The 23,676-nt window shown below is 42.0% G+C and overlaps 1 protein-coding gene across 13 annotated transcripts in view, besides 2 other annotated features; it reads right to left on the bottom strand.

The window, feature by feature from the left end:
* Window positions 1-23,676, bottom strand: part of CNIH3 (cornichon family AMPA receptor auxiliary protein 3) — a 305,915-nt gene that overhangs the window by 254,686 nt on the left and 27,553 nt on the right. The gene's annotated exons all lie outside the window — the stretch shown is intronic.
* Window positions 5,266-5,792: an enhancer, noted in NCBI's record as "H3K27ac-H3K4me1 hESC enhancer chr1:224667779-224668305 (GRCh37/hg19 assembly coordinates)". NCBI's record gives its function as "activates a minimal SCP1, AML or CMV promoter by ChIP-STARR-seq in naive H9 embryonic stem cells {active_cell/tissue: H9 hESC(naive)}" and the evidence as "EXISTENCE:reporter gene assay evidence [ECO:0000049][PMID:30033119]".
* Window positions 11,710-11,879: a silencer, noted in NCBI's record as "fragment chr1:224661692-224661861 (GRCh37/hg19 assembly coordinates)". NCBI's record gives its function as "represses an EF-1alpha promoter that drives an FKBP-Casp9 reporter gene in an ReSE screen in K562 erythroleukemia cells {active_cell/tissue: K562}" and the evidence as "EXISTENCE:reporter gene assay evidence [ECO:0000049][PMID:32094911]".

Below are 23,676 nucleotides of genomic sequence, written 5' to 3'. Positions count from 1 at the left end.
AAGTTGATGATTGTGGATGGATACATGGGAATTCATTGTATCAGTCTATTTTTCTTTGCACGCTTAAAATTTTCCATAATTAAAGTTTTAAAAGAAAGAAGAGGGCTGGGCATCCTGGCTCATGCTAGTAATCCTAGCACTTTGGGAGCTGGAGACAGGACAAGCCTGCACAACATAGTGAGATTCTATCTCTACAAAATTTGTTTTAAATTAGCCAGGCATTGTGGCACCATCTGTGGTCCCAGCTACTTGGGAGGCTGAGGCAACAGGATTGCTTGGGCCCAGGAGTTCAAGGCTGTGGTGAACAATGATCACGCCACTGCACTCCAGCCTGGGTGACAGAATCAGACCCTGTCTCTAAAAAATAAAGGGGGGCGGTGGTGGGGTGAGGTGAGGGGAAGGAAAGAAGGTGTGGGAAAAGAAAGAGAAAGAAACATAGCAGTCTACCTGGAATGGAAGAAGGCTGATGCCTAGAAACAAAAGAGAAACTCTGAAAGAATAAATGACCTACAAAGGAGCTTCTCTTCTATTGGTCAGTAGTTGTAGTGTTTTAGGAGGAGAAAGCTCAGTGAAGAAAAGGAAAGATCTTCCTGTTAAAACCTGAGTTCTTACCTGTAAGGGATTCTGAATAACCAAGAAAAGCTACCATCTTGGAAGGTGCACCCAGTGGCCCAATATGGAGAAGCAGAGAGTGACTATATAAGTTTATGAACGAAGGGCAGGTATGTAACAGAGGGCTGTTTCCAATAAACTCAACTACATCCCAAAATAAAGCTCAAAAATATTAGTAGGAATGTAAAAATGCCCAGCACTCAATATGCTGAAATTGACAATGTCTGGCATACAATCAAAGATAGATACCAAGAAACAGGAAAACTGACCCTTGGTGAGGAGAAAGATCAGTCAAGATAAACTGACCCAGAACTGATCCATCTGTTAGAATTCACAGTCAATGACATAAAAAATAATCATTACAACTATATTATATATGTTCAAAAGTTAAGTAAATACATGAAAGATATTTTTTGAAGACTCTTATCAAACTTCTAGAGATTAAAACTATAAAATCTGAGATAAAAATACATTGCTGGGATTAACGGCAAAGTAGATACTGCAGAAGAAAAGATGAGTGAACTTGAAGACATCAACACAAAATATCCAAGATGAAACACAGAGAAGAGCATCCATGAGTTGTAAGCAGCCTAATATACATGCAACTGGAGTTCCCAAAAGGTAGGAGAGATGGGGACATAAAAATATTTGAAGAAGTAATGGCTAAAATTTGGGTGAATTTTATAAAATTTATAAATTTGATAAAACTACAAAGTCACAGATACAAGAAGCTTCATGAATCCCAACATGAAGAAAACAACACCAACACATATCATAGTCAATGTGCTCAAAACTGGTGATAAAGAGAAAAATCTTTTTTTTTTTTTTAAACAGAGTCTCGCTCTGTCACCCAGGCTGGAGTGCAGTGGCGTGATCTCGGCTCACTGCAAGCTCCGCCTCCCAGGTTCGTGCCATTCTCCTGCCTCAGCCGCCCCAGTAGCTGGGACTACAGGTGCCCACTACCGCGCCCGGCTAATTTTTTGTATTTTTAGTATAGACAGGGTTTCACCGTGTTAGCCAGGATGGTTTCGATCTCCTGACCTCGTGATCTGCCCGCCTCGGCCTCCCAATTTTTTTTTTTTTTTGAGACAGAGTTTTGCTCTTGTTGCCCAGGCTAGAGTGCAATGGTGCGATCTCCGCTCACTGCAACCTCCACTTCTTGGGTTCAATCAATTCTCCTGCCTCAGCCTCCAGAGTAGCTGGGATTACAGGCACGCGCCACCACACCCGGCTAATTTTTGTATTTTTAGTAGAGACGGGGTTTCACCATGTTGGTCAGGCTAGTCTCGAACTCCTGATTTCAGGGGATCCACCCATCTTGGCCTCCCAAAGTGCTGGGATTACAGGCGTGAGCCAACGCACCCAGCCAAGGGAAAAATCTTAAAAGTAGTTAGAAAAAAACTACATACATGCAAATTTCTTATCAGAAAAAATGCAAGCAGGGGAGGAGGCAGACCAAGGTTGCAGAATAGAAGCGTTTACTGATTGTCATCCCCCACAGGAACACCAAATTTAACAACTATTTACACAAAAAAGCACCTTCATAAGAACCAAAAATCAGCCGGGTGTGGTGGCTCACACCTGTAATCCCAGAACTTTGGGATGCCAAGGTGGGCGGATCACTTGAGGTCAGGAGTTTTGAGACCAGCCTGGCCAACATAGTGAGACCTCGTCTCTACTAAAAAAAAAAAATACAAAAATTAGCCGGGTGTGGTGGCATGTGCCTATAAATCCCAGCTACTCAGGAGGCCGAGGCATGAGAATCACTTGAACTGGGGAGGCGGAGGTTGCGGTGAGCCAAGATTACGCCACTGCATTCCAGCGTGGACAACAGAGCAAGACTCTGTCTAAAAAAAAAAAAAAAAATCAGGTGAGCAATCACACTACCTGTTTTATGTTTTTGTTTTGAGACAGAGTCTTACTCTGTCACCCAGACTGGAGTGCAGTGCTGCAATCTCAGCTCACTGCAACCTTCACCTGCCAAGTTCAAGCAATTCTTGTGCCTCAGCCTCCTGAGTAGCTAGGATTACAGGCACCCACCATTATGCCCAACTAATTTCACAGTACCTGGTTTTAACTTCATATCACTCAAAGAGGCACTGGAGAGGGTAGGAAAGACAGTTTTGAATTGCCAACACCATCCCTCCCCATTCCCCTGCCAGTGGTCAGCTGTGTGGCACAGAGAGAGAATCTGTGTGCTTAAGGAAGGGAGAGTGCATTGATTGTGAGATTTTGCACTGGAATGCAGTACTGCCAACACTGGGCAGAACTCAGCCAGGGCCCAAGGAGGGATGATTTAGATCAACCCTAGCCAGAGGGGAATCGCCCACTCCACTGGTCAGAACTTGAATTTCAGCAAGCCTTGTCACCGCAGGCTAACGTGCTCTGAGCCCTAAATTAACTTGAAAGACTGTCTAGGCCATAAAGAGTACAACTCCTAGATGACTTCTAGTGCTGTGCTGGGCTCAGAGCCAAAGGACCTGAGGAGCACACGACCTAATGAGACACCAGCTGAGGTGGCTAAGGGAGTGCTTGCATCACCTCTCCCCCAAAACTAGGTAGTACAGCTCACAGCTCCAAAAGTGACCCCTTCCTTCTGCTTGAGGAGAGGAGAGGAAAGAGTAAAGAAGACTTTGTTTTGCAACTTGGATATGAGCACAGCTACAGAAAGATAGGGCACTGGGCAGAGTCATGAAGCCCCCATTCTAGGGCCTAGCTCCTAAACAACATTTCTAGACACACCCTAGGCCAGAAGGGAGCCCGCTACCTTGAAGGGAAGGTCCTATTCCTGATAGGATTTATCATCTGCTGACTAAAGAGCCCTTGAGCCCTGAATAATCAGCAGTGGTAATCAGGTAGTACATACTGAGGGCCTTGGGTTAGACTCGGACATGCTGGCTTCAGTTGTGACCCCGCACATTCACAGCTGTGGTCGCTACGAGGAGAGAACCCTTCTGCTTGAGAAAAGCAGAGGAAAGAATAAAGAGGACTCTGTCTGGAGCTTAGGTACCAGCTTCGCTACAGTGGGGAAGAGCACCAACCAGGCTCTTGGGGTCCCTGATTCCAAACTTCAGTTCTTGAACAGCATCTCTAGACCTATCCTGGGCCAGAGGGGAACCCACTGCCCTGAAGGGTGAGTCCCAGGCTTGAGAGCATTCAACACAAGCTGACTGAACAGCCTTGGGCCTTAAATGAACATCCGCAGTATCCTAGCACTGCTCCCCATGGGCCTGTAGTGGTGCATGAGGAGAGACTCCTCTGCCTGCTGGGGAAAGGAGAGGGAAGAGTGGAAAAGACTCGTTCCAGTGGATTTGGTGCCAGCTCAGCCACAGTAGAATAGAGCACCAGGTAGATTTCTAAGGCTCTGAACCCTGGACAGCATCTTTGGACCCATCCAAGGCCCAAGGGAACTCACCGCTCTTAAGGGGAGTATACAAGTTTGACTGGCTTCACCACCTGCTGAGTGTAGAGCCCTAGGGCCTTCAGCAAACATAGGCAGTAGCCAGGTAGTGGTTACAGCAGGCCTAGGGCAAGACCCAGTGGTGTGCTGGCTTCAAGTTTGACCCAGTGCAATCCCAGTGGTGGTGGCCACAGGGATACTTGTGTCACCCCTTCCCCAGCTCCAGGTATCTCAGCACAGAGAGAGAAACTCTTTGGGAGAATTTAAGGGAAGAGAAGAAGAGTCTCTACCTGGTAATCTAGAGAATTCTTCTAGATTTTATCCAAGACCACAAGGTTATACCTCTATGAGTCTGCAAGAGCCACAGTGTTACTGGGCTTGAGGTACCCCCTAATGCAGCTATGGCTGCGCTGACCAAAAACTTAGATCACAACACTCAAGTCCCTTCAAATACCTGGAAAGCCTTTCCAAGAAGGATGGGTACAAACAAGCCCAGACTGCAAAGATCACAATAAATAGCTAACTCTTCAGTGCCTAGACACTGATTGATATGGTTTGGCTGTGTTCCCACCTAAATCTCATCTTGAATTCCCACATGTTGTAGGAGGGACCTGGTGGAAGGTAACTGAATCATAGGGGCAGGTCTTTCCCATACTGTTCTCATGATAGTGAGTAAGTCTCATGAGATCTGATGGTTATGATAAGGAGGAGTTTTCCCCCACAAGCTCTTTTCTTTGCCTGCTGCCATCCATGTAAGATGTGACTTGCTGCTCCTCGCCTTCTGCGATGATTGTCACCCCTCCCCAGGCACGTGGAACTGTAAGTCCAATAAACCTCTTTCTTTTGTAAATTGCCCAGTCTCATGTATGTCTTTATCAGCAGCATGAAAATAAACTAATACAGTAAATTGGTACCAGTAGAGTGAGGCATTGCTGAAAAGATACCAAAAAAAATATGGAAGCAACTTTGGACCTAACAGGCAGAGGTTGGAACAGTTTGAAGGTCTCAGAAGACAGGAAAATGTGGGAAAGTTTGGAACTTCCTCAGAGACTTGTTGAATGGCTTTGACCAAAAGCCTAATAGTGATATGGACAATAAGGTCCAGGCTGAGGTGGTCTCAGATGGAGATGGGGAACTTGTCGGGAACTGGGGCAAAAATGACTCTTGTTATGTTTTAGCAGAGACTGGCAGCATTTCGCCCCTGCCCTAGAGATTTTTGGAACTTTGAATTTGAGAGAGATGATTTAGGGTATCTGGCAGAAGAAATTTCTAAGCAGCAAAGCATTCAAGAGGTGACTTGGGTGCTGTTAAAGGCACTCAGTTTTATAAGGGAAGCAGAGCATAAAAGTTCAGAAAATTTGCAGCCTGGCAATGTGATAGAAAAGAAAAACCCATTTTCTGAGGACAGATTGAAGCTGGCTGCAGAAATTTGCACAAGTGAGGAGAAGCCTAATGTTAATCCCCAAGACAATGGGGAAAATGCCTCCAGGGCATGTCAGAGGTCTTCACAGCAGCCCCTCCCATCACAGGCCCAGAGGCCTAGGAGAAAATGGTTTCAGGGGCCAGGCCCAGAGTCCCGTGCTGTGTGCGGTCTAGGGACTTGGTGCTGTGTGTCCCAGCCACTTCAGCCGTGACTAAAAGGGGCTAAGGTACAGCTCAGGCTGTTGCTTCAGAGGGTGGAAGCCCTAAGCCTTGGCAGCTTCCACATGGTGTTGAGCCTACGGGTGCGCAGAAGTCAAAGAACTGAGATTTGGGAACCTCCACCTAGATTTCAGAAGATGTATGGAAAGACCTGGATACCCAGACAGAAGTTTGCAGCAGGGACAGGGCCCTCATAGAGAACCACTGTTAGGGCAGTGCAGAAGGGAAATGTGGGGTCGAAGCCCCCACACAGAGTCTCTACTGGGGCAGCACCTAGTGAAGTTGTGAAAATAGGGCCGCTGTCCTCCAGACCCCCAAATGGTAGATCCACTGACAGCTTGCAGCATGTGCCTGGAAAAGCCACAGACACTTAATGCCAGCCCATGAAAGCAGCCAGGAGGGAGGCTGAACCCTGCAAAGCCACAGGGATGGAGCTGCCCAAGACCATAGGAACCCATCTCTTGCATCAGTGTGACCTGCATGTGAGACATGGAGTTAAAGGAGATCATTTTGGAGATTTAAGATTTGACTGCCCTGCTGGATTTCAGACTTGCATGGGGCCTGTAGCCCCTTTGTTTTGGCCAATGTCTCCTATTTGGAATGGCTATATTTATCCAATGCCTGTAACCCCATTGTAATTAGGAACTAACTTGCTTTTGATTTAACAGGCTCATAGGTGGAAGGGACTTGCCTTGTCTTAGAAGAGACTTGGGACTGTGGACTTTTGAGTTAATGCTGAAATGAGTTAAGACTTTGGGGGACTGCCGGGCGCAGTGGCTCACGCCTGTAATCCCAGCACTTTGGGAGGCCAAGGCGGGCAGATCACTTGAGGTCAGGAGTTTGAGACCAGCCTGACCAACGTGGAGAAACTCCGTCTCTACTAAAAAATATAAAATTAGCCGGGCGTGGTGACGCATGCCTCTAATCCCAGCTACTTGGGAGGCTGAGGCAGGAGAATCACTTTAACCTGGGAGGCAGAGGTTGCAGTGAGCCGAGATTGCGCCATTGCACTCCAGCTTGGGCAACAAGTGTGAAACTCTGTCTCAAAAAAAAAAAAAAAAAAAAAAAAAAGACTTTGGGGGACTGCTGGGAAGGCATGATTGGTTTGGGAATGTGAAAACATCAGATTTGGGAGGGGCCAGGGAGGGAATGATAACAGTTTGGCTGTGTCCCCACCAAAATCTCAGCTTGAATTCCCACATGTTGTAGGAGGGATCCAGTGGGAGGTAATTGAATCATGCGGGCAGGTCTTTCCCATGCCGTTCTTGTGACAGTAAGTCTCACCAGATCTGATGGTTATTATAAGGGGGAGTTTTTCTGCACAAGCTCTTTTTTGCCTGCCACCATCCACATAAGATGTGACTTGCTGCTGCTCCTTGCCTTCTGCCATGATTGTGAACCCTCCCCAGCCATGTGGAACTTTAAGTCCAATAAAACTCTTTCTTTTGTAAATTGCCCAGTCTTAGGTATGTCTTTATCAGCAGCATGAAAACAGAGTAATACACTGATGAACATCCACAAACATCAAGACTATCCAGGACCTCAGCAAACGAACTAAATAAGGTACCAGGAACCAATCCCAGAGAGACAGAGATATGTGACCTTTCAGACGGAATTCAAAATATCTGTTTAGAGAAAACTCAAAGAAATTCAAGATAATACAGAAAATGTATTCAGAATCCTATCCCATAAATTTAACAAAAATTGAAATAATTAAAAATAAGCAGAAATTATGGAGTTAAAAAATGCAATGATCTACTGAAGAATGCATCAGAATCTCTTAATAGCAGAACTGATCAAGCAGAAAAAAGAATCCGTAAGCTTGAGAAGAAGCTATTTGAAAATACACGGAGGAGACAAAATAAAAAAGAATGAAGCATGCCTACAAGATCTAGAAAATAACCTCAAAAGGGCAAATCTAAGAGTTATTGGCCTTAAAGAGAAGGTAGAAAAAGAGATGGGGGTAGAAAGTTTATTCAAGATGATAATAACAGAGAACTTCCAAAACCTAGAGAAAGATAACAATATTCAAGTACAAAAAGGTTGTAGAAAACCAAGCATATTTAACCCAAAGAAGACTACATCAAGGCATTTAATAATCAAACTCCCAAAGGTCAAGGAAAAAGAAAGGATTCTAAAAGCAGCCAGAGAATAGAAACAAATAACATACAATGGCAATATGTCTGGCAGCAGACTTTTCAGTGGAAACATTACAGGCCAGGAGAGAGTGGTATGACATATTTAAAGTGCTAAAGGGAAAAACTTTTACTCTAAAATAGTATATCTGGAAAAAAAAATCCTTCAAACATAAAGGAGAAATAAAGACTTTCCCAGACAAACAAAAACTAAGGGATTTCATCAATACCAGACCCTTCCTACAAGAAATGCTAAAGGGAGTTCTGCAGCCTGAAAGGAAAAGACATTAATAAGCAATAAGAAATTATCTGAAGGTACAAAACTCTCTGGTAACAGTAAGCACACAGAAAAACACAGAATGTCATTAACACTGTAATTGTGGTATGTAAACTACTCATATCTTAAGTAGAAAGACGAAAAGATGAACTGATCAACAAAAATAACTAAAACAACTTTCATGACATAGACAGTATAATAAAATATAAACAACAATAAGTTAAAATGCAGGAAGACAAAGTTAAAGTGTAGAGTTTTTATTAATTTTGGGGGTTTTGTTCATTTGTTTTTTGCTTGTTTGTTTATGCAGGCAGCATTGTCATCAGTTTAAAATAATGGGTTTGTGGGCATTTCAGTTACTCCATCTAAACTATAGGACTGGATTTGGGGTTCTCCAATATAAGCAGGCAGAAGAATCTCCTAAAGAATTTGTTTGAAATTCAGAATTCGACTTAGGAGATTAAGATGGTGGATACGAGGAAAGACTAGCTTGCGCGTCCCACTCAGATGGACAGAACAGCATGTGGAGACTCACATCGTGAACTTTTGCTCCAAGAACTACCATAGGAACATACCAAGAAAGCCGAAAGAATCCACACACCCTTTGAAGGAACTTCATCACCCCTGCAGGCTCCCTGAGATGCCAAAAAACTGTGAGTCCGCTTGCTTTCTCAATGGGGAGGCTCATGGGGAGGCTGCTTGCTTTCTCAATGGGGCAAGTTCTCAGCCCTGGTCACCAGCTGCTTAGAAATAAACTTGGTGCTGTTGCAGGGGCATGGTGGGAGTAAGATCAGCTTTAGGACTGTGGGCTGCTTGGGAGCAGGGTGAGGCCTGTAACTGCCGGCTTTCCCCCAGTTCCCTAGCAACCTGTACCTCGCATCTCAAAACTAACATTGAATGTAAATGTCCTAAACACTCCACCTAAAAGACACAGAATGTTCTTTTTGCTTAGGATAGCTTTGGCTATTCCAGGTCTTTTGTGGTTTCATATAAATTTTAGGATTTTTTTTTCTATTTCTGTGAAGAATATCATTGGTATTTTGATAGAGATTGCATTGACTCTGTAGATTGCTTTGGGTGGTATGGATATTTTAATAATATTGATTCTTCCAGTCCATGAACATGGACTATCTTACCAGTTTTTGGTGTCTTCTTCAGTTTCTTGCATCAGTGTTTTATAGTTTTCATTGTAGAAATCTTTCACTTATTTGGTTAAATCCTAAGTATTTAACCCATTTCCTATTCAGACAAAAAAAGTGCAGCTCGCTGCCAGTGCTCATTTCTCAGGGCAAATGGGTAATGGGTTAAATTTATTTGTAGCTATTGTAAATGGTATTACTTTCTTGATTTCTTTTTCAGATTGTTCACTGTTGGCATATAGAAATGCTACTGATTTTTGTATGATGATTTTGTATCCTGAAACTTTACTAAATTTGTTTACCAGTTCTGATAGTTTTCTTAGTGGAGTCTTTAGGTTTTTCTGAATATTAGATGTATTATCTGCAAACAAGGCTAATTTGACTTCCTCCTTCAATTCTGATGTCCTTTATTTCTTTCTCTTGTCTGTTTGCTCCAGTTAGGACTTGAATAACAGTGGTGAAAGTGGGCATCCTTGTCTTGTTCCAGATATTTGAGGAAATGCTTTCAGTTTTCTACTTTAAGTATGATATTAGCTGTGGGTCTGTCCTAGATGGCTTTTATTGTATTGAGGTATGTTCCTTTAATACCCACTTTTTTGGAGGATTTTTATCATGAAGGGATGTTGAATTTTTTCGAATGCTTTTTCAGCATCAACTTAAATGATCATATAGTTTTTGTCCTTCATTCTGTTGATATGATGTATCACACTGACTGATTTGCATATGTTGAAACATCCTTGCATCCCTGGGATAAACCCCACTTGGTAATGATGAATGCTTTTTTTAATGTGTTGTTGAATTTGGTTTTCTACTATTTTGTTGAGGATTTTTGCATCAATGTTCATGAGGAATATTGGCCTGTAGTTTTCTTTTATTGGTGAGGCTTTGTCTAGTTTACTGGTAATACTGGCCTCATAGTGCATAGTTTACAAGTATTAGGTTTACAAGTATTCCCTCTTCCTCTATTTTTTGGAATCATTTGAGCAGGGTTGGTATTATCAGTTTTAAAATATTTGGTAAAATTCAGCAGTGAAGCCATCAGGTTCCAGGCTTTTCTTTGCTGACGAAATTTTTATTATGGCTTCAATCTCATCACTTGTTATTTGCCTGTTCAGGTTTTGGATTTCTTCATGGTTCAGTCTTGGTAGGTTGTATGTATCTAGGAATTTATCTGTTTCTTCTAGACTTTCCAATTTATTAGCATATAATTGCTCATAGCCACTAATCATCCTTTGAATTTGGCAGTATCCGTTGTAATGTCTCCCTTGTCATCTCTGATTTTCTTTTCTTTTCTTTTCTTTTTTTTTTTGAGATGGAGTCTCGCTCTGTCGCCCCGGCTGGACTGCAGTGGCGCAATCTCGGTTCACTGCAAGCTCCGCCTCCTGGGTTCATGCCCTTCTCCTGCCTCAGCCTCCCGAGTAGCTGGGACTACAGGCGCATGCAGCCACGACCAGCTAATTTTCTGTAGTTTTAGTAAAGACGGGGTTTCACCATGTTAGCCAGGATTGTGTTGATCTCCTGACCGTGATCCGCCCGCCTCTACCTTCCAAAGTGCTGGGATTACAGGCTGAGCCACCGCGCCCAGCCTCTGATTTTCTTTTTTTTTTTTCTTTTTTTTTTGAGATGGAGTCTCCTTCTGTCGCTCAGGCTGGAGTGCAGTGGCACGATCTCGACTCACTGCAAGCCCCGCCTCCCGGGTTCACGCCATTCTCCTGCCTCAGCCTCCCAAGTAGCTGGGACTACAGGCGCCCGCCCACTGCCACGACCGGCTTTTTTTTATTTTTATTTTTTTGTATTTTTTAGTAGAGACGGGGTTTCACCGTGTTAGTCAGGATGGTCTCGATCTCCTGACCTTGTGATCTGCCCGCCTTGGCCTCCCAAAGTGCTGGGATTACAGGCGTGAGCCACCGGCCCGGGCTCCGATTTCCCTTATTTGGGCCTTCTTTCTTTTTTTCTTAGTCTGGATAAAGGTTTGTCAATTTTATCTTTTCAGAAAACCAACTTTTTGTTTCATTGATCTTTTGTATTGTTTTCTTCATTTCAATCTCACTTATTTCTGCTCTGATCTTTATTATTTCTTTTCTTCTACTTATTTTGGGTTTGGTTTGCTCTTGCTTTTCTAATTCTTCAAGATACATCATTATATCGTTTATTTGAAGTTTTTCTTCTTTTTTGATGTAGGCACTGATACCCATAAACTTCCCTTTTTTGATGTATGTCATAGTTTTTGGTATGTTGTGTTTCCACTATCATTTGTTTCAAGAAAACTTTTTCTTGAAAAACTTTTTTTTTTTTTTTTTGAGGCGAAGTTTTGCTCTTGCTGCCCAGGCTGTAATGCAATGGCACAATCTCGGCTCACCGCAACCTCTGCCTCCTGGGTGCAAGTGATTCTTCTGCCTCAGCCTCCCAAGTAGCTGGGACTACAGGCATGCACCACCATGCCCAGCTAATTTTGTATTTTTAGTAGAGACGGGGTTTCTCCACGTTGGTCAGGCTGGTCTTGAACTCCTGACCTCACATGATCTGCCCACCTTGGCCTCCCAAAGTTCTGGGATTACAGGCATGAGCCACTGTGCCTGGCCAAAACTTTCGTTTTTTTATCTCTTCATTGACCCACTGGTCATTCAGGAACATACTGTGTAATTTCCTTGTGTTTGTATAATTTCCAGAATTCCTCCTGTTATTGGTTTTTAGTTTTATTTTATTGTGGTCAGAGAAGATATTTGATATTATTTCCATTTTTTGAATGTTTTAAGACTTGTTTTGTACCCTAACATAGGGTCTTTCCTTGTGAATGATCCATGTGCTAAGGAAAAGAATGTGTGTTCTGCAGCCATTGGATGAAACGTTCTGTAAATATCTATTAGGTCCATTTGGTCTATAGTGCAGATTAAATCCAATGTTTCTTTGTTGATTTTCTGTCTAGGAGATGTGCCCAATGCTGGAAGTGGGGTGTTGAAGTTTCCAGCTATTGTTGTCTCTCTCTCTCTCTCTTTAGCTCTAGTAATATTTCCTTTACATACCTGTGTGCTCTCATGTTGGATGCATATATATTGATAATTGTTATATCCTCTTGCTGAACTGACCTCTTTATCATTATATAATGACCTTTTTGTCGCTTTTTATAGTTTTTGTATTGAAACCTATTTTGTGTGATATAAGTATAGCTACTCTTGCTCTTTTTAGGTTCCCATTTGCATAGAAGTGGTGAAGTGTATTTCTTTTAGGCATCAGATCACTGGGTCTTGTTTTGTTTTGTTTTGTTTTTAATCCATTCAGCCACTCTATGCCTTTTGATTGTTGAGTGTAGTCGATTACCAATTACTTATTTTATTGATAAGTAAGGACTTATTCCTGTCATTTTGTTGTTTCCTGGTTGTTTTATGGTCTTCTCTTATTTCCTTCCTTCCTGTCTTCCTTTTAGTGAAGGTGATGATTTTCTTGTGGTATGTTTTAATTTTTTGCTTTTTAATTTTTGTGTATCCATTGTACGTTTTTAAATTTGAGGTTACCATGAGGCTTGCAAATAATATCTTCCAAACCCATTATTTTATTTATTTTTTTAAATACAAACTAAGGCTTTTTCTTCAATTATCTCTATCATCCACAGTAAAAGGAAATAAGTCACCTGCAACTGATGCCAAACCCTCCTGCCAATGAGAGATAAGCAGCTCTGGGTAATTTCACATAGCCCAGCAAAGACAGTTTCCTTGAATTCTTATGAAAAATTGGCCCTAAAATCTATCAGGATGACTTATTCATGAGAATCATCTGAGATACCCATTATAAATATAGTTGTCCAGAATCTTAGGTGGTTGTGGGAGAGGAAAGCTCCTGTAATTCTGAATTTTGTGGTTTTTGATTTTTAATTTTTTTATTTCAATAGGATTTTTGGGGAACAGGTGGTGTCTGGTTACATGAATAAGTTCTTTAGTGGTGATTTCTGAGATTGTGGTGCACTCATCACCCTAGCAGTGTACACTGTGCCCAGCGTGTAGTCTTTTATCCCTCACCATCCTCAATCCTTTTCCCCAGGTCCCCAAAGTCCAATGTATCATTCTTATGCCTTTGCGTCCTGATAGCTTAGCTCCCACATATTAGTAAGAATATATAATGTTTGGTTTTCCATTCCTGAGTTACTTCACTTAGAATAATAATTTCCAATTCCATCCAGGTTGCTGCGAATGTCATTATTTCTCTCCTTTTTATGGCTGAGTAGTATTCCATGATGTATACATATATACCATGTTTTCTTTATCCACTTATAGATTAATGGACATTTGGGCAGGTTCCATATTTTTGAAATTGTGAATTGTGCTGCTATAAACATGCATGTGCAAGTATCTTTTTTATATAATGACTTCTATTATCATATAGAAAATGTGATATCACTTCATTTTAAATGGTTTTTATGCAAAAGACAGGCAATAACAAATGCTGGTGAGGATGTAGAGAAAAGGGAATCCTTATACACTGCTGGTGGGAATGTAAATTAGTACAACCACTATGAAGAACAATTTGGAGGTTCCTCAAAAAAACAAAAATAGAGCTATCATATGATCCAGACATCCCATTGCTAGGGAAATACCCACCCTCCCAAAAAAAGGAAATCAGTATATCGAAGAGATATCTGCACTTCCATGTTTACTGCAGCACTATTGACAATAGCCAAGATTTGGAAGCAACCTAAGTGTCTATGAACAAATGAATGGATAAAGAAAATGTGGTACATATACACAATGGAGTACTATTCAGCTATAAAAAAAAGAATGAGAGGCCGGGCACGGTGGCTCACACCTGTAATCCCAGCACTTTGGGAGGCCGAGGCCGGTGGATCATGAGGTCAGGAGTTCAAGACCAGCCTGGCCAAGATGGTGAAAGCCCGTCTCTACTAAAAATACAAAAAAATTAGCCAGGCATGGTGGCAGGTACCCGTAGTCCCAGCTACTTAGGAGGCTGCAGCAGAGAACTGCTTGAACCCAGGAGGCGTAGGTTGCGGTGAGCCGAGATCACGCCACTGCACTCCAGCCTGGGTGACAGAGCGAGACTCCATCTCAAAAAAAAAAAAAAAGAGAGAATGAGATTCTGTCATTTGCAACAACATGAACAGAACTGGAGGTAGTTATGTTAAGGAAATAAGCTAGGCACTGAAAGACAAACTTTGCGTATTCTTACTTATTTGTAGGAGCTAAAGATTAAAACAACTGAACTCATGGAGATAGAGCGTACAATGATGGTTACCAGAAGCTGGGAAGGGTAGTGGGGGAGTGGGGAGGAAGAGGGGATGGTTAATGGGTACAAAAAAATAGAATGAATGAATAAGAGCTAGTATTTCTGCCAGGCACTGTGGTTCACGCCTGGAATCCCAGCACCTTGGGAGGCCAAGGCGGGCAGATCACATGAGGTCAGGAGTTCTGGTCTCGAACTCCTGACCCTGTCTCTACTAAAAATATAAAACATGAGCTGGATGTGGTGGCGTATGCCTATAGTCCCAGCTACCCGGGAGGCTGAGGCAGGAGAATCACTTGAACCCAGCTTGCAGTGAGCTGAGATTGTGCCACTGCACTCCAGCCTGGGCAACAGAACAAGACCTCATCTAAAACAAACAAACAAACAAACAAAAAACCTAGTATTTGCTAGCACAACGAGGTGACTATAGTAAAAAATAATTTAATTGTACACTTTTAAATAATTAAAAGAGTACAACTAGATTGTTTGTAACACAAACGATAAATTCTTGAGGTTATGGATATCTCATTTATCCTGATGTGATTATTACATATTGTATGTCTGTATCAAAATAGCTCGTGTACACCATAAATATACATACCTACTATGTACCCCCAAAAAAGAAACAATGCAAGCAAGAAGACAATGGAACAACATCTTTAAAGAACTGAAAGAGATGGCCAGGCATGGTGGCTTGTGCCTGTAAACCCAGCGCTTTGGGAGACCGAAGTGGGAGGATCACTTGAGCCCAAGAGTTCAAAACATAGGCAGATCCCATTTTTACAAATAAACAAAAAACAATAACAACTGAAAGAGGGCTGGGTGTGGTGGCTCACACCTGTAATCCCAACACTTTGAAAGGCCGAGGCAGAAGGGTCACTTGAGGCCAGGAGCTGAAGACCAGCCTGGGCCAGACAAGGAGACCCTTGTCTCTACAAAAAAAGTTTTACAAAATTAGCTGGGCCTGGTGGCACACACCTGTAGCCCTAGGTACTTGAGAGGATGAGGCAGGAGAACCACTTGAGTCCAAGAAGGCTGCAGTGAGCTACGATCGTGCCACTGCACTCCATCCTGGGTGACAGAGTGAGACACTACCTCTTAAAAAAAAAAAAAAAAAAGGCCAGGCACAGTGGCTCATGCCTGTAATCCCAACACTTCGGGAGGCCGAGGCAGGTAGCTCACAAGGTCAGGAGATCGAGACTATCCTGGCTAACACAGTGAAACCCCGTCTCTACTAAAAATACAAAAAATTAGCCGGGCATGGTGGCGGGTGCCTGTAATCCCAGCTACTCAGGAGGCTGAGGCAGGAAAATGGCATGAACCCGGGAAGCAGAGCTTGCAGTGAGCCGAGATCGCGCCACTGAACTCCAGCCTGGGCAACAAAGCGAGACTCTGTCTCCAAAAAAAAAAAAGAAGAAGAAGAATAACTGAAAGAAAGAACTGCCAAGTTTAAATTATACACCCAGTTTTTTAAAAACCATATTTCAAAAATGAAAATAAAGATGTTTTCAGATTTTTTTTAAATCTGGCAGAATTCATCACTACCAGACTTTAAAAAATATTAAAGGAAGGCCTGAAAGTAGAAGGAAAATGATACCACATGGAAATATTGATCTAACCAAAGGAATGAAGAGTGTCAGAAATGGTTACCACACAGGTAAAATATGTAAGATGTTTTTCCTATTATTTATGTCTCTTTAAGAGATAATTGAGTCCTCAACAAAATATTAATAAATTAAATTCAGCAATATCAAAAAAGAATTAGCCAGGAATGATGGCACATGCCTGTGGTCCCAGCTACTTGGGAGGCTGAGGCGGAGGGATTGCTTGAGCCTGAAGTTTGAGATTACAATTAGCTATGATTTGCACCACTGCGCTCCAGTCTGGGTGACAGAGCAAGACTCTGTCGCTATAAAACAAATAAATAATAAAAAATTCTTTAAAATTATACATCATAACCAAGTTGGACTTATTACAGGTATGCAAGGCCAGTTCAATATTTGAAAATCAGTCAATATAACCCATCATATCAACAGGCTAAAGAAGAAAAATCAGGCTGGGCAGAGTGGCTCACACCTGTAATCCCAGCAGTTTGGGAGGCCAAGGTGGAAGGATCATTTGAGTCCAGGAGTTCAAGACCAGCCTGGGAAATATAGCAAAATCCTGTCTCTACAAAAAAAATTAAAAATTAGCTGGGCATGGTGGCATGCACCTGAAGCTCCAGCTTCTCAAGAGGCTGAGGTGGGAGGATCACTTGACGCCAGAAAGTAAAGGCTGCAGTGAGCCATGATTGCACCACTAAACTCCAGCCTGAGTGACAGAACAAGACCCTGTCTAAAAAATAAAATAAAATAAAAAAGAAGAAAAGTCATATGACCATATTGATATAGAAAAAGCATTTTACAAAATCCAGTTCCCATTCACGTGCACAAAAAAAAAAAAGTTTCACAAACTAGGATTAGAGAGGAACTGACTCAACTTGATAGAGAGCATCTACCAAAAAACTACAGGTAACAGCATAATTAGTGGTGAAAGACTGAAAGACTGAATGCTTTCCCCCTAATATCAGGAACATGGCATCACCATTCTTTCTTTTTTTTTTTTTTTTTTTGAGACAGGGTCTCACTCTGTCACGCAGGCTGGAGTGCAGTGGCAGTGGCATGATCATAGTTCACTGCAGCCTTTAACTCCTGGCCTCAAGTGATGCTCCCACCTTCTCCTACCACAGACGTACTCTCATCATTCTTATTCAACACAGTACTGAAAGTTCTAGCCTATGCAATAAAGAAAGAAAAACAATAAATGCAGACAGATTGGAAAGAAAGAAATAAAATTGTCCCTATTTGTAGATGACAATTATCTACACAGAAAATCCTAATAAATCTATTTTTAACTGCAATTTTAAAAATTAATAAGGAAGGTCACTGGACACAGAATCAACACACAAAAATCAACAAACATGTAGAAACCAAAGCTGAAAACACAATACCATTTACAATTGCTACAAAGCAAATGAAATACTTAGTTATAAATCTAACAAAACATGTATAAGAGCTGTATGCTGAAAATTACAAAATGTTGATGAAAGAAATCACAGAAGACCTAAATAAATAGAAATACTGTGTTTATGACTTAGAAAACTCAACACTAAAAACATCAATTTTTCCCAAATTGATTTACATAATTCCTATCCAAATTCCAGCAAGGCTTCTTATAGATATAAATAACTTATTCTAAAATTTATATGGAAAGGTAAAGGACCTAAAATAGTTACGACAATTTTGAAAAAGAAGAATGTTGTAAGAAGAATCATTCTACCCAATGTTAAGGCTTACTAAATAACTTCAGTAATCAAGACAGTAGAGTACTGGTGGAAGAATAAATATGTAGATCAATGAAATATAATAGAGGAAACAATAGAATCACAAAAGAATGTACAACTGATTTTTTTAAAGAAAAAAGGTACAAACATGATTTAATAGAGGAAGGACGGCCCTTTCAACAATTGGTGAAGAAAAAAAAAAAGTCTGTAGGCCAAGAAAAAAAAAGAAGAGCCTCATACCTTTTACAAAAATTAACTTAAAATGAATCATTGATTTAAACATACCATGTAAAACTATGAAACTTTTGGAAAAAAAAAAAACAGGAGGAAATCTTCAAAACCTACGGCTGGGAGAACAGTACTTCAACTTGATATCAAAACTATGATCCCAGCCAGGCGCAGTGGCTCATGCCTGTAATCCCAGCAATATGGGAGGTCGAAGTGAGTGGATCACCTGAGGTCAGGAGTTCGAGACCAGCCTGGCCAATATGGTGAAACCCCGTCTCTACTAAAAATACAAAAATTAGCCGGGCTTGGTGGCACCTGCCTGTAATCCCAGCAACTCAGGAGGCTGAGGCAGGAGAATTGCTTGAACCCAGGAGGCAGAGGTTGCAGTGAGCTGAGATCGCACTATTGCACTCCAGCCTAGGCAATGAGAGCAAAACAAAAACAAACAAACAAACAAACAAAAACTATGATCCAGGAAAACTTGATAAATTGGACCTCTTAAGAATTAGAAAATTTTGCTCTGTGAAAGCTCCTGTTAAGAGAATGAAAAGAGCCAGGCATAGTGGCTCACGCCTGTATTCACAGCACTTTGGGAGGCAGAGGTGGGCAGATGGCTTGAGTCTAGCAGTTCAAGATCAGCCTCAGCAACATTTCCAGCAGTTCAAGAAATGTCTCTACAAAAAACAGAAAAAATTAGCTGGGTATGGTGGCACACACCTGTAGTCCCAGCCACGTGAGAGGCTGGGGTGGGATGATCACTTGAGCCCAGGAGGTCAAGGCTGCAATGAGCCATGATCACACCACTGCACTCCAGCATGGGTAACAGAGTGAAACCCTGTCTCAAGAGAATGAAAAGATAAATTACAGACTGGGAGAAAATATTTGCAAGCCAAATATCCAACAAAGGATTTAGTATCTAGAATATAAAGAATTTCCAAAACTCAACAGTAGAAAAGCAAACAATATAATTAGCAAGTGTACTAAAAACATTTCACTGAGGAGTAGATACAGGTAACAAGCTAATAAAAAGATGTTCAACCTCAGTGATTAGGGCAATCTAAATTAAAACCACAATGCATTATCACTACATGCCTAACAGAGTGATAAAATAAAAAATGTCAAATTCTGGCAAGGATATGGGAAAAACTGGATCACTCTTACATGGCTGGCAGGAATGTAGAATGGGATAGCTACTCTGGAAAATATTTTGGCATTTTCTTTTAAAACTAAAAGTGCACTTACCATACAACCCAGCAATTGCACCCTTGGGCATTTATCCCAGGCAAATGAAAACCTATATGCGCTCTGCAATCTATACATGAATGTTGATAACAACTCTATTTATAATAGCCAAGAACTAGATACCACCCAAATGTCCTTCAATGTATAAATGGTTGAAGAAACTGTAGTACATCCATACCACAGATACTACTCTGCAACATAAAGGAAAAAACTACGATAGAATTAGGCCTTGGCTGGTTCTCAAGGGAATTATGCTGATTGATTTTTTTAAAAAGCTACAGACTGTATGACACTACATAAGTGATTCCATTTACGTAATGTATTTGAATAACAATATTAAAAGATGGAGAACAGAAGAATGGCTGCTGGGGTTATGGACTGGGGAGAAAGAAGGTAGATGTGACTATAAAAGCATCAGGGAGGCTTATGGTGATGAAATGGGTCTGTATCTTGATTGTGGTGGCAATTACACAAAGCTACATGTATGATAAAACTGCATAGAACTACATACACACACAAATGAGTGCATGTGTAACTGGTAAAATCTGACTAAACCCTGTGGATTGTACTAATGCCAATTTCTGGGTTTTTGTTTTTCGTTTTTTGTGTTTTTTTGAGAAGGAGTTTCATTCTCATCACCCAGGCTGGAGTGCAATGGCGAGATCTCAGCTCACTGCAACCTCCGCCTCCCAGGCTCAAGCGATTCTCCTGCCTCAGCCTCCCGAGTAGCTGAGATTACAGGTGCCCGACACCATGCCCGGCTCATTTTTGTATTTTTAGTGGAGATGGGGTTTCACTATGTTGGCCAGGCTGGTCTCAAACTCCTGACATCAGGTGATCTGCCTGCCTCAGCCTCCCAAAGTGCTGTGGTTACAGGCGTGAGCCACAGCACCCGCCCAATTTCCTGGTTTTGATACGGTATGTAGTTATGCAAAATGTCAACATTGAGGGAGGAGGGGTGAAGGATGCACAGGACCTTTCTATACATTTATTTGCAATATCCCGTTTATAATTATTTCAAAATAAAACATCTAAAAAAGAAAACTGGCTGTTCAAGCAAAAATAATAGTATAGACTGTGGTTTATAACAAATGTGTAAGTAAAACGTATGACAACAACAGCATAAAAGCTATGAGGAGGGAAACAAAGGTAGACTCCTGTAAACTTATGTTATGTGTGAAGTGATACAATATAACTTGAAGGTAGACTGTGATGAGTTAAAGATAATTCTAACCAGCCAGGCATGGTGGGTCACACCGGTAATCCTAGCACTTTGGGAGGCCAAGGTGGGCAGATGACCTGAGGTCGGGAGTTCGAGACCAGCCTGACCAACACGGAGAAACCCCGTCTCTACTAAAAATACAAAATCAGTCAGGTGTGGTGGTGCATGCCTGTAATCCCAGCTACCTGGGAGGCTGAGGCAGGAGAATCGCTTGAATCCAGGAGGTGGAGGTTGCGGTGAGCCAAGATTGTGCCATTGCACTCCAGCCTGGGCAACAAGAGCGAAACTCCGTCTCAAAAAAAAAAAAAAAGATAATTCTAACTATCTTGGCTGGGTGCCTCAGCTTACATCTCTAATCTCAGCACTTTAGGTGGCTAAAGTGGGAGGGTCGCTCAAGTCCAGAAGTTTCAGACCAGCCTGGGCAACATGGTGAGACTGTTTCTACAAAAAATCAAAAAATTAACTGGGCCTAGTGGTACACACCTGTGGGCCCAGCTACACGGGAGGCTGAGGTGAGAATATCACTTGAGCCCAAGAATTAATGACTGCAGTGAGCTGTGATCACACCACTGCACTTCAGCCTGGGCAATAGAGCAAGACCCTGTCTTTAAATAAAATAAAATGAAATAAAATCTTTAAAAAAAAGAAGAATACAGCTGGAAGACTTATGCTACCTGACTTCAAGATTTATTTAAAAGCTACAGGAATCAAAACAGTGTGGTTTGGTATAAATAAGGAAAATAGATAAATGGAACAGAATATGGAAATCAGAAATAGATCCATACATAAATGGAGAACTAATTTTTTACAAAGGTGCCAAGGCAATCCAATGGAGAAAGGATAGTTTTTTCAAGAAATAGTTCTGGAACAATTGGATATCCACATGCAAAAAAGAAAGAAATGAACTTTGATCCATAACTCACACCATACATAAAAATTAGCTTAAAGCCAGGCACGGAAAAGTATTACCTATTCAAAAATTAAACTAACTAGCTGGGTGCAGTAGCACATGCCTGTAGTCCCAGCTACCTGGGAGGCTGAGGCAGGAGGATCCCTTGAGCCTAGGAATTTAAGAACAGCCTGGGCAACATATAGAGACCCCATCTCAAAAAAAAAATCAATTCAAAATAGAGCATTGACCTAAATGAATAACCTAAAACTATAAAACTTCTAGAAGAAAACACTGGAGAAAAATTTTGTGGCCTTGGGGCAAAGATTGCTTAGACATGACACCAAGAGCATAACCCATAAAAAATAAATATAAAGTGAACTCCATCAAAATTTAAAGGTTAAGCTCTTCAAAAGATACTCCGAAAAGAATGAAGACAATCCAGGTCGAGCGCGGTGGCTCACACCTGTAATCCCAGCACTTTGGGAGGCTGAGGTGGGCGGATCACAAGATCGGGAGTTCGAGACAAGCCTGGCCAATATGGTGAAACCCCGTCTCTACTAAAAACACAAAAATTAGCCAGGTGTGGTGGCATGTGCCTGTAGTCCCAGCTACTCGGGAGGCTGAGGCAGGAGAATGGCTTGAACCCAGGAGGCAGAGGTTGCAGTAAACTGAGATCATGCCACTGCACTCCAGCCTGGGCGACAGAGCGAGACTCCCTCTAAAAAAAAAAAAAAAAAAAAAAAAAAAAAAAAAAAATGAGGACAATTCATAAGCTGGGAGAAAAATCATCACAAAGCACATATCTGATAAAAGACTTGTATCAGGCCGGGCACGGTGGCTCACACCAATAATCCCAGCACTTTGGGAGGCTGAGGCAGGCGGATCATCTGAGGTTGGGAGTTCGAGACCAGCCTAACCAACATGGAGAAACCTCGTTTCTATTAAAAAATACAAAATTAGCCGGGCATGGTGGCACATGCCTAACCCCAGCTACTCGGGAGGCTGAGGCAAAAGCATCGCTTGAACCTGGGAGGCAGAGGTTGCTGTGAGCAGAGACCGTGCGATTGCACTCCAGCCTAGGCAACAAGAGTGAAGCTCCGCCTCAAAAAAAAAAAGACTTGTATTCATGCTAATAACTCCAAAAATTAATAACGAGAAAACAACACAATTTTTTAAATGGCCAAAGGATTTTTAACAAAACATTTTAACAAAAGACTGACCATCCCAAGAGTCAGCAAGGATATGAAGAAACCGGACTCTCACACATCATTGGGAATGGAAAACAGTACAAGCACTTTGTAAAACATTTTGGTAGCTTCTTAAAAAGTTAAACAGGCCAGGCACAGTGCCTCACGCCTGTAATCCCAACACTTTGGGAGGCCGAGGCGGGTGGATCACGAGGTCAAGAGATCGAGACCATCCTGGCCAACATGATGAAACCCCATCTCTACTAAAAATACAAAAATTAGCTGGGTGTGGTGGCACACGCCTGTAGTCCCAGCTACTCGGGAGGCTGAGGCAGAATTGCTTGAACCCAGGAGGTGCAGGTTGCAGTGAGCCAAGATTGTGCCACTGCACTCCAGCCTGGTGACAGAGCAAGACTGTCTCAAAAAAAAAAAAAAAAAAAAAAAAGTTAAACATATTTTGGGAAACCAAGGCAGGAATATCACTTGAGCCTAGGTGTTTTGAGACCAGCCCATGTCTACAATAAAAATACAAAAAATTAGCCAGGTGTGGTGGTGCGTGCCTGCAGACCCAGCTACTCAGGAGGCTGAGGTGGGAGGATCACCTGAGCCTGGGAGGTCGAGGCTCTGGTGAGCCGTGATCACACCACCACCCTTCAGCCAGGTGACAGAATGAGACCCTATCTCAAAAAAAAAAAAAAAAAAAAATTGGGTCCAGACCTAGTGGTTCACACCTGTAATCCCAGCATTTTGGGAGGCCAAGGCGGGCGGATTGCTTGAGGCCAGGATTTCGAGACCAGCCTGGCCAACATGGCAAAACCCCATCTCTACTAAAAATACAAAAATTAGCCAGGCGTGGTGGTGGGTGCCTGTAATCCCAGCTACTCAGGAGGCTGAGACAGGAGAGTCGCTTGAGCATGGGAGGCAGAAGTTGCGGTGACCCAAGATGGGGCCACTGCACTCCAACCTGGGTGACAGGGCAAGACTGTTTCAAAAAACAAAAAAAATTTAAACATAACAGGATTTTTAGGGCAGTGAAACTACTCTGTACAACACTACGATGGTGGATACATGTCATCATTAAAGGTTTGTCCAAACCCATAGAATGTACGACACCACATGAACCCTACATTAGGGTAAGAGTGAACCAACC

This window comes from Homo sapiens, chromosome 1 (assembly GCF_000001405.40).
Source record: "Homo sapiens chromosome 1, GRCh38.p14 Primary Assembly".
In the NCBI taxonomy this organism is placed as follows: Eukaryota; Metazoa; Chordata; class Mammalia; order Primates; family Hominidae; genus Homo; species Homo sapiens.
Note: the sequence above shows the minus strand (reverse complement) of the source record. Positions and strands in the feature narration are given on the sequence as shown.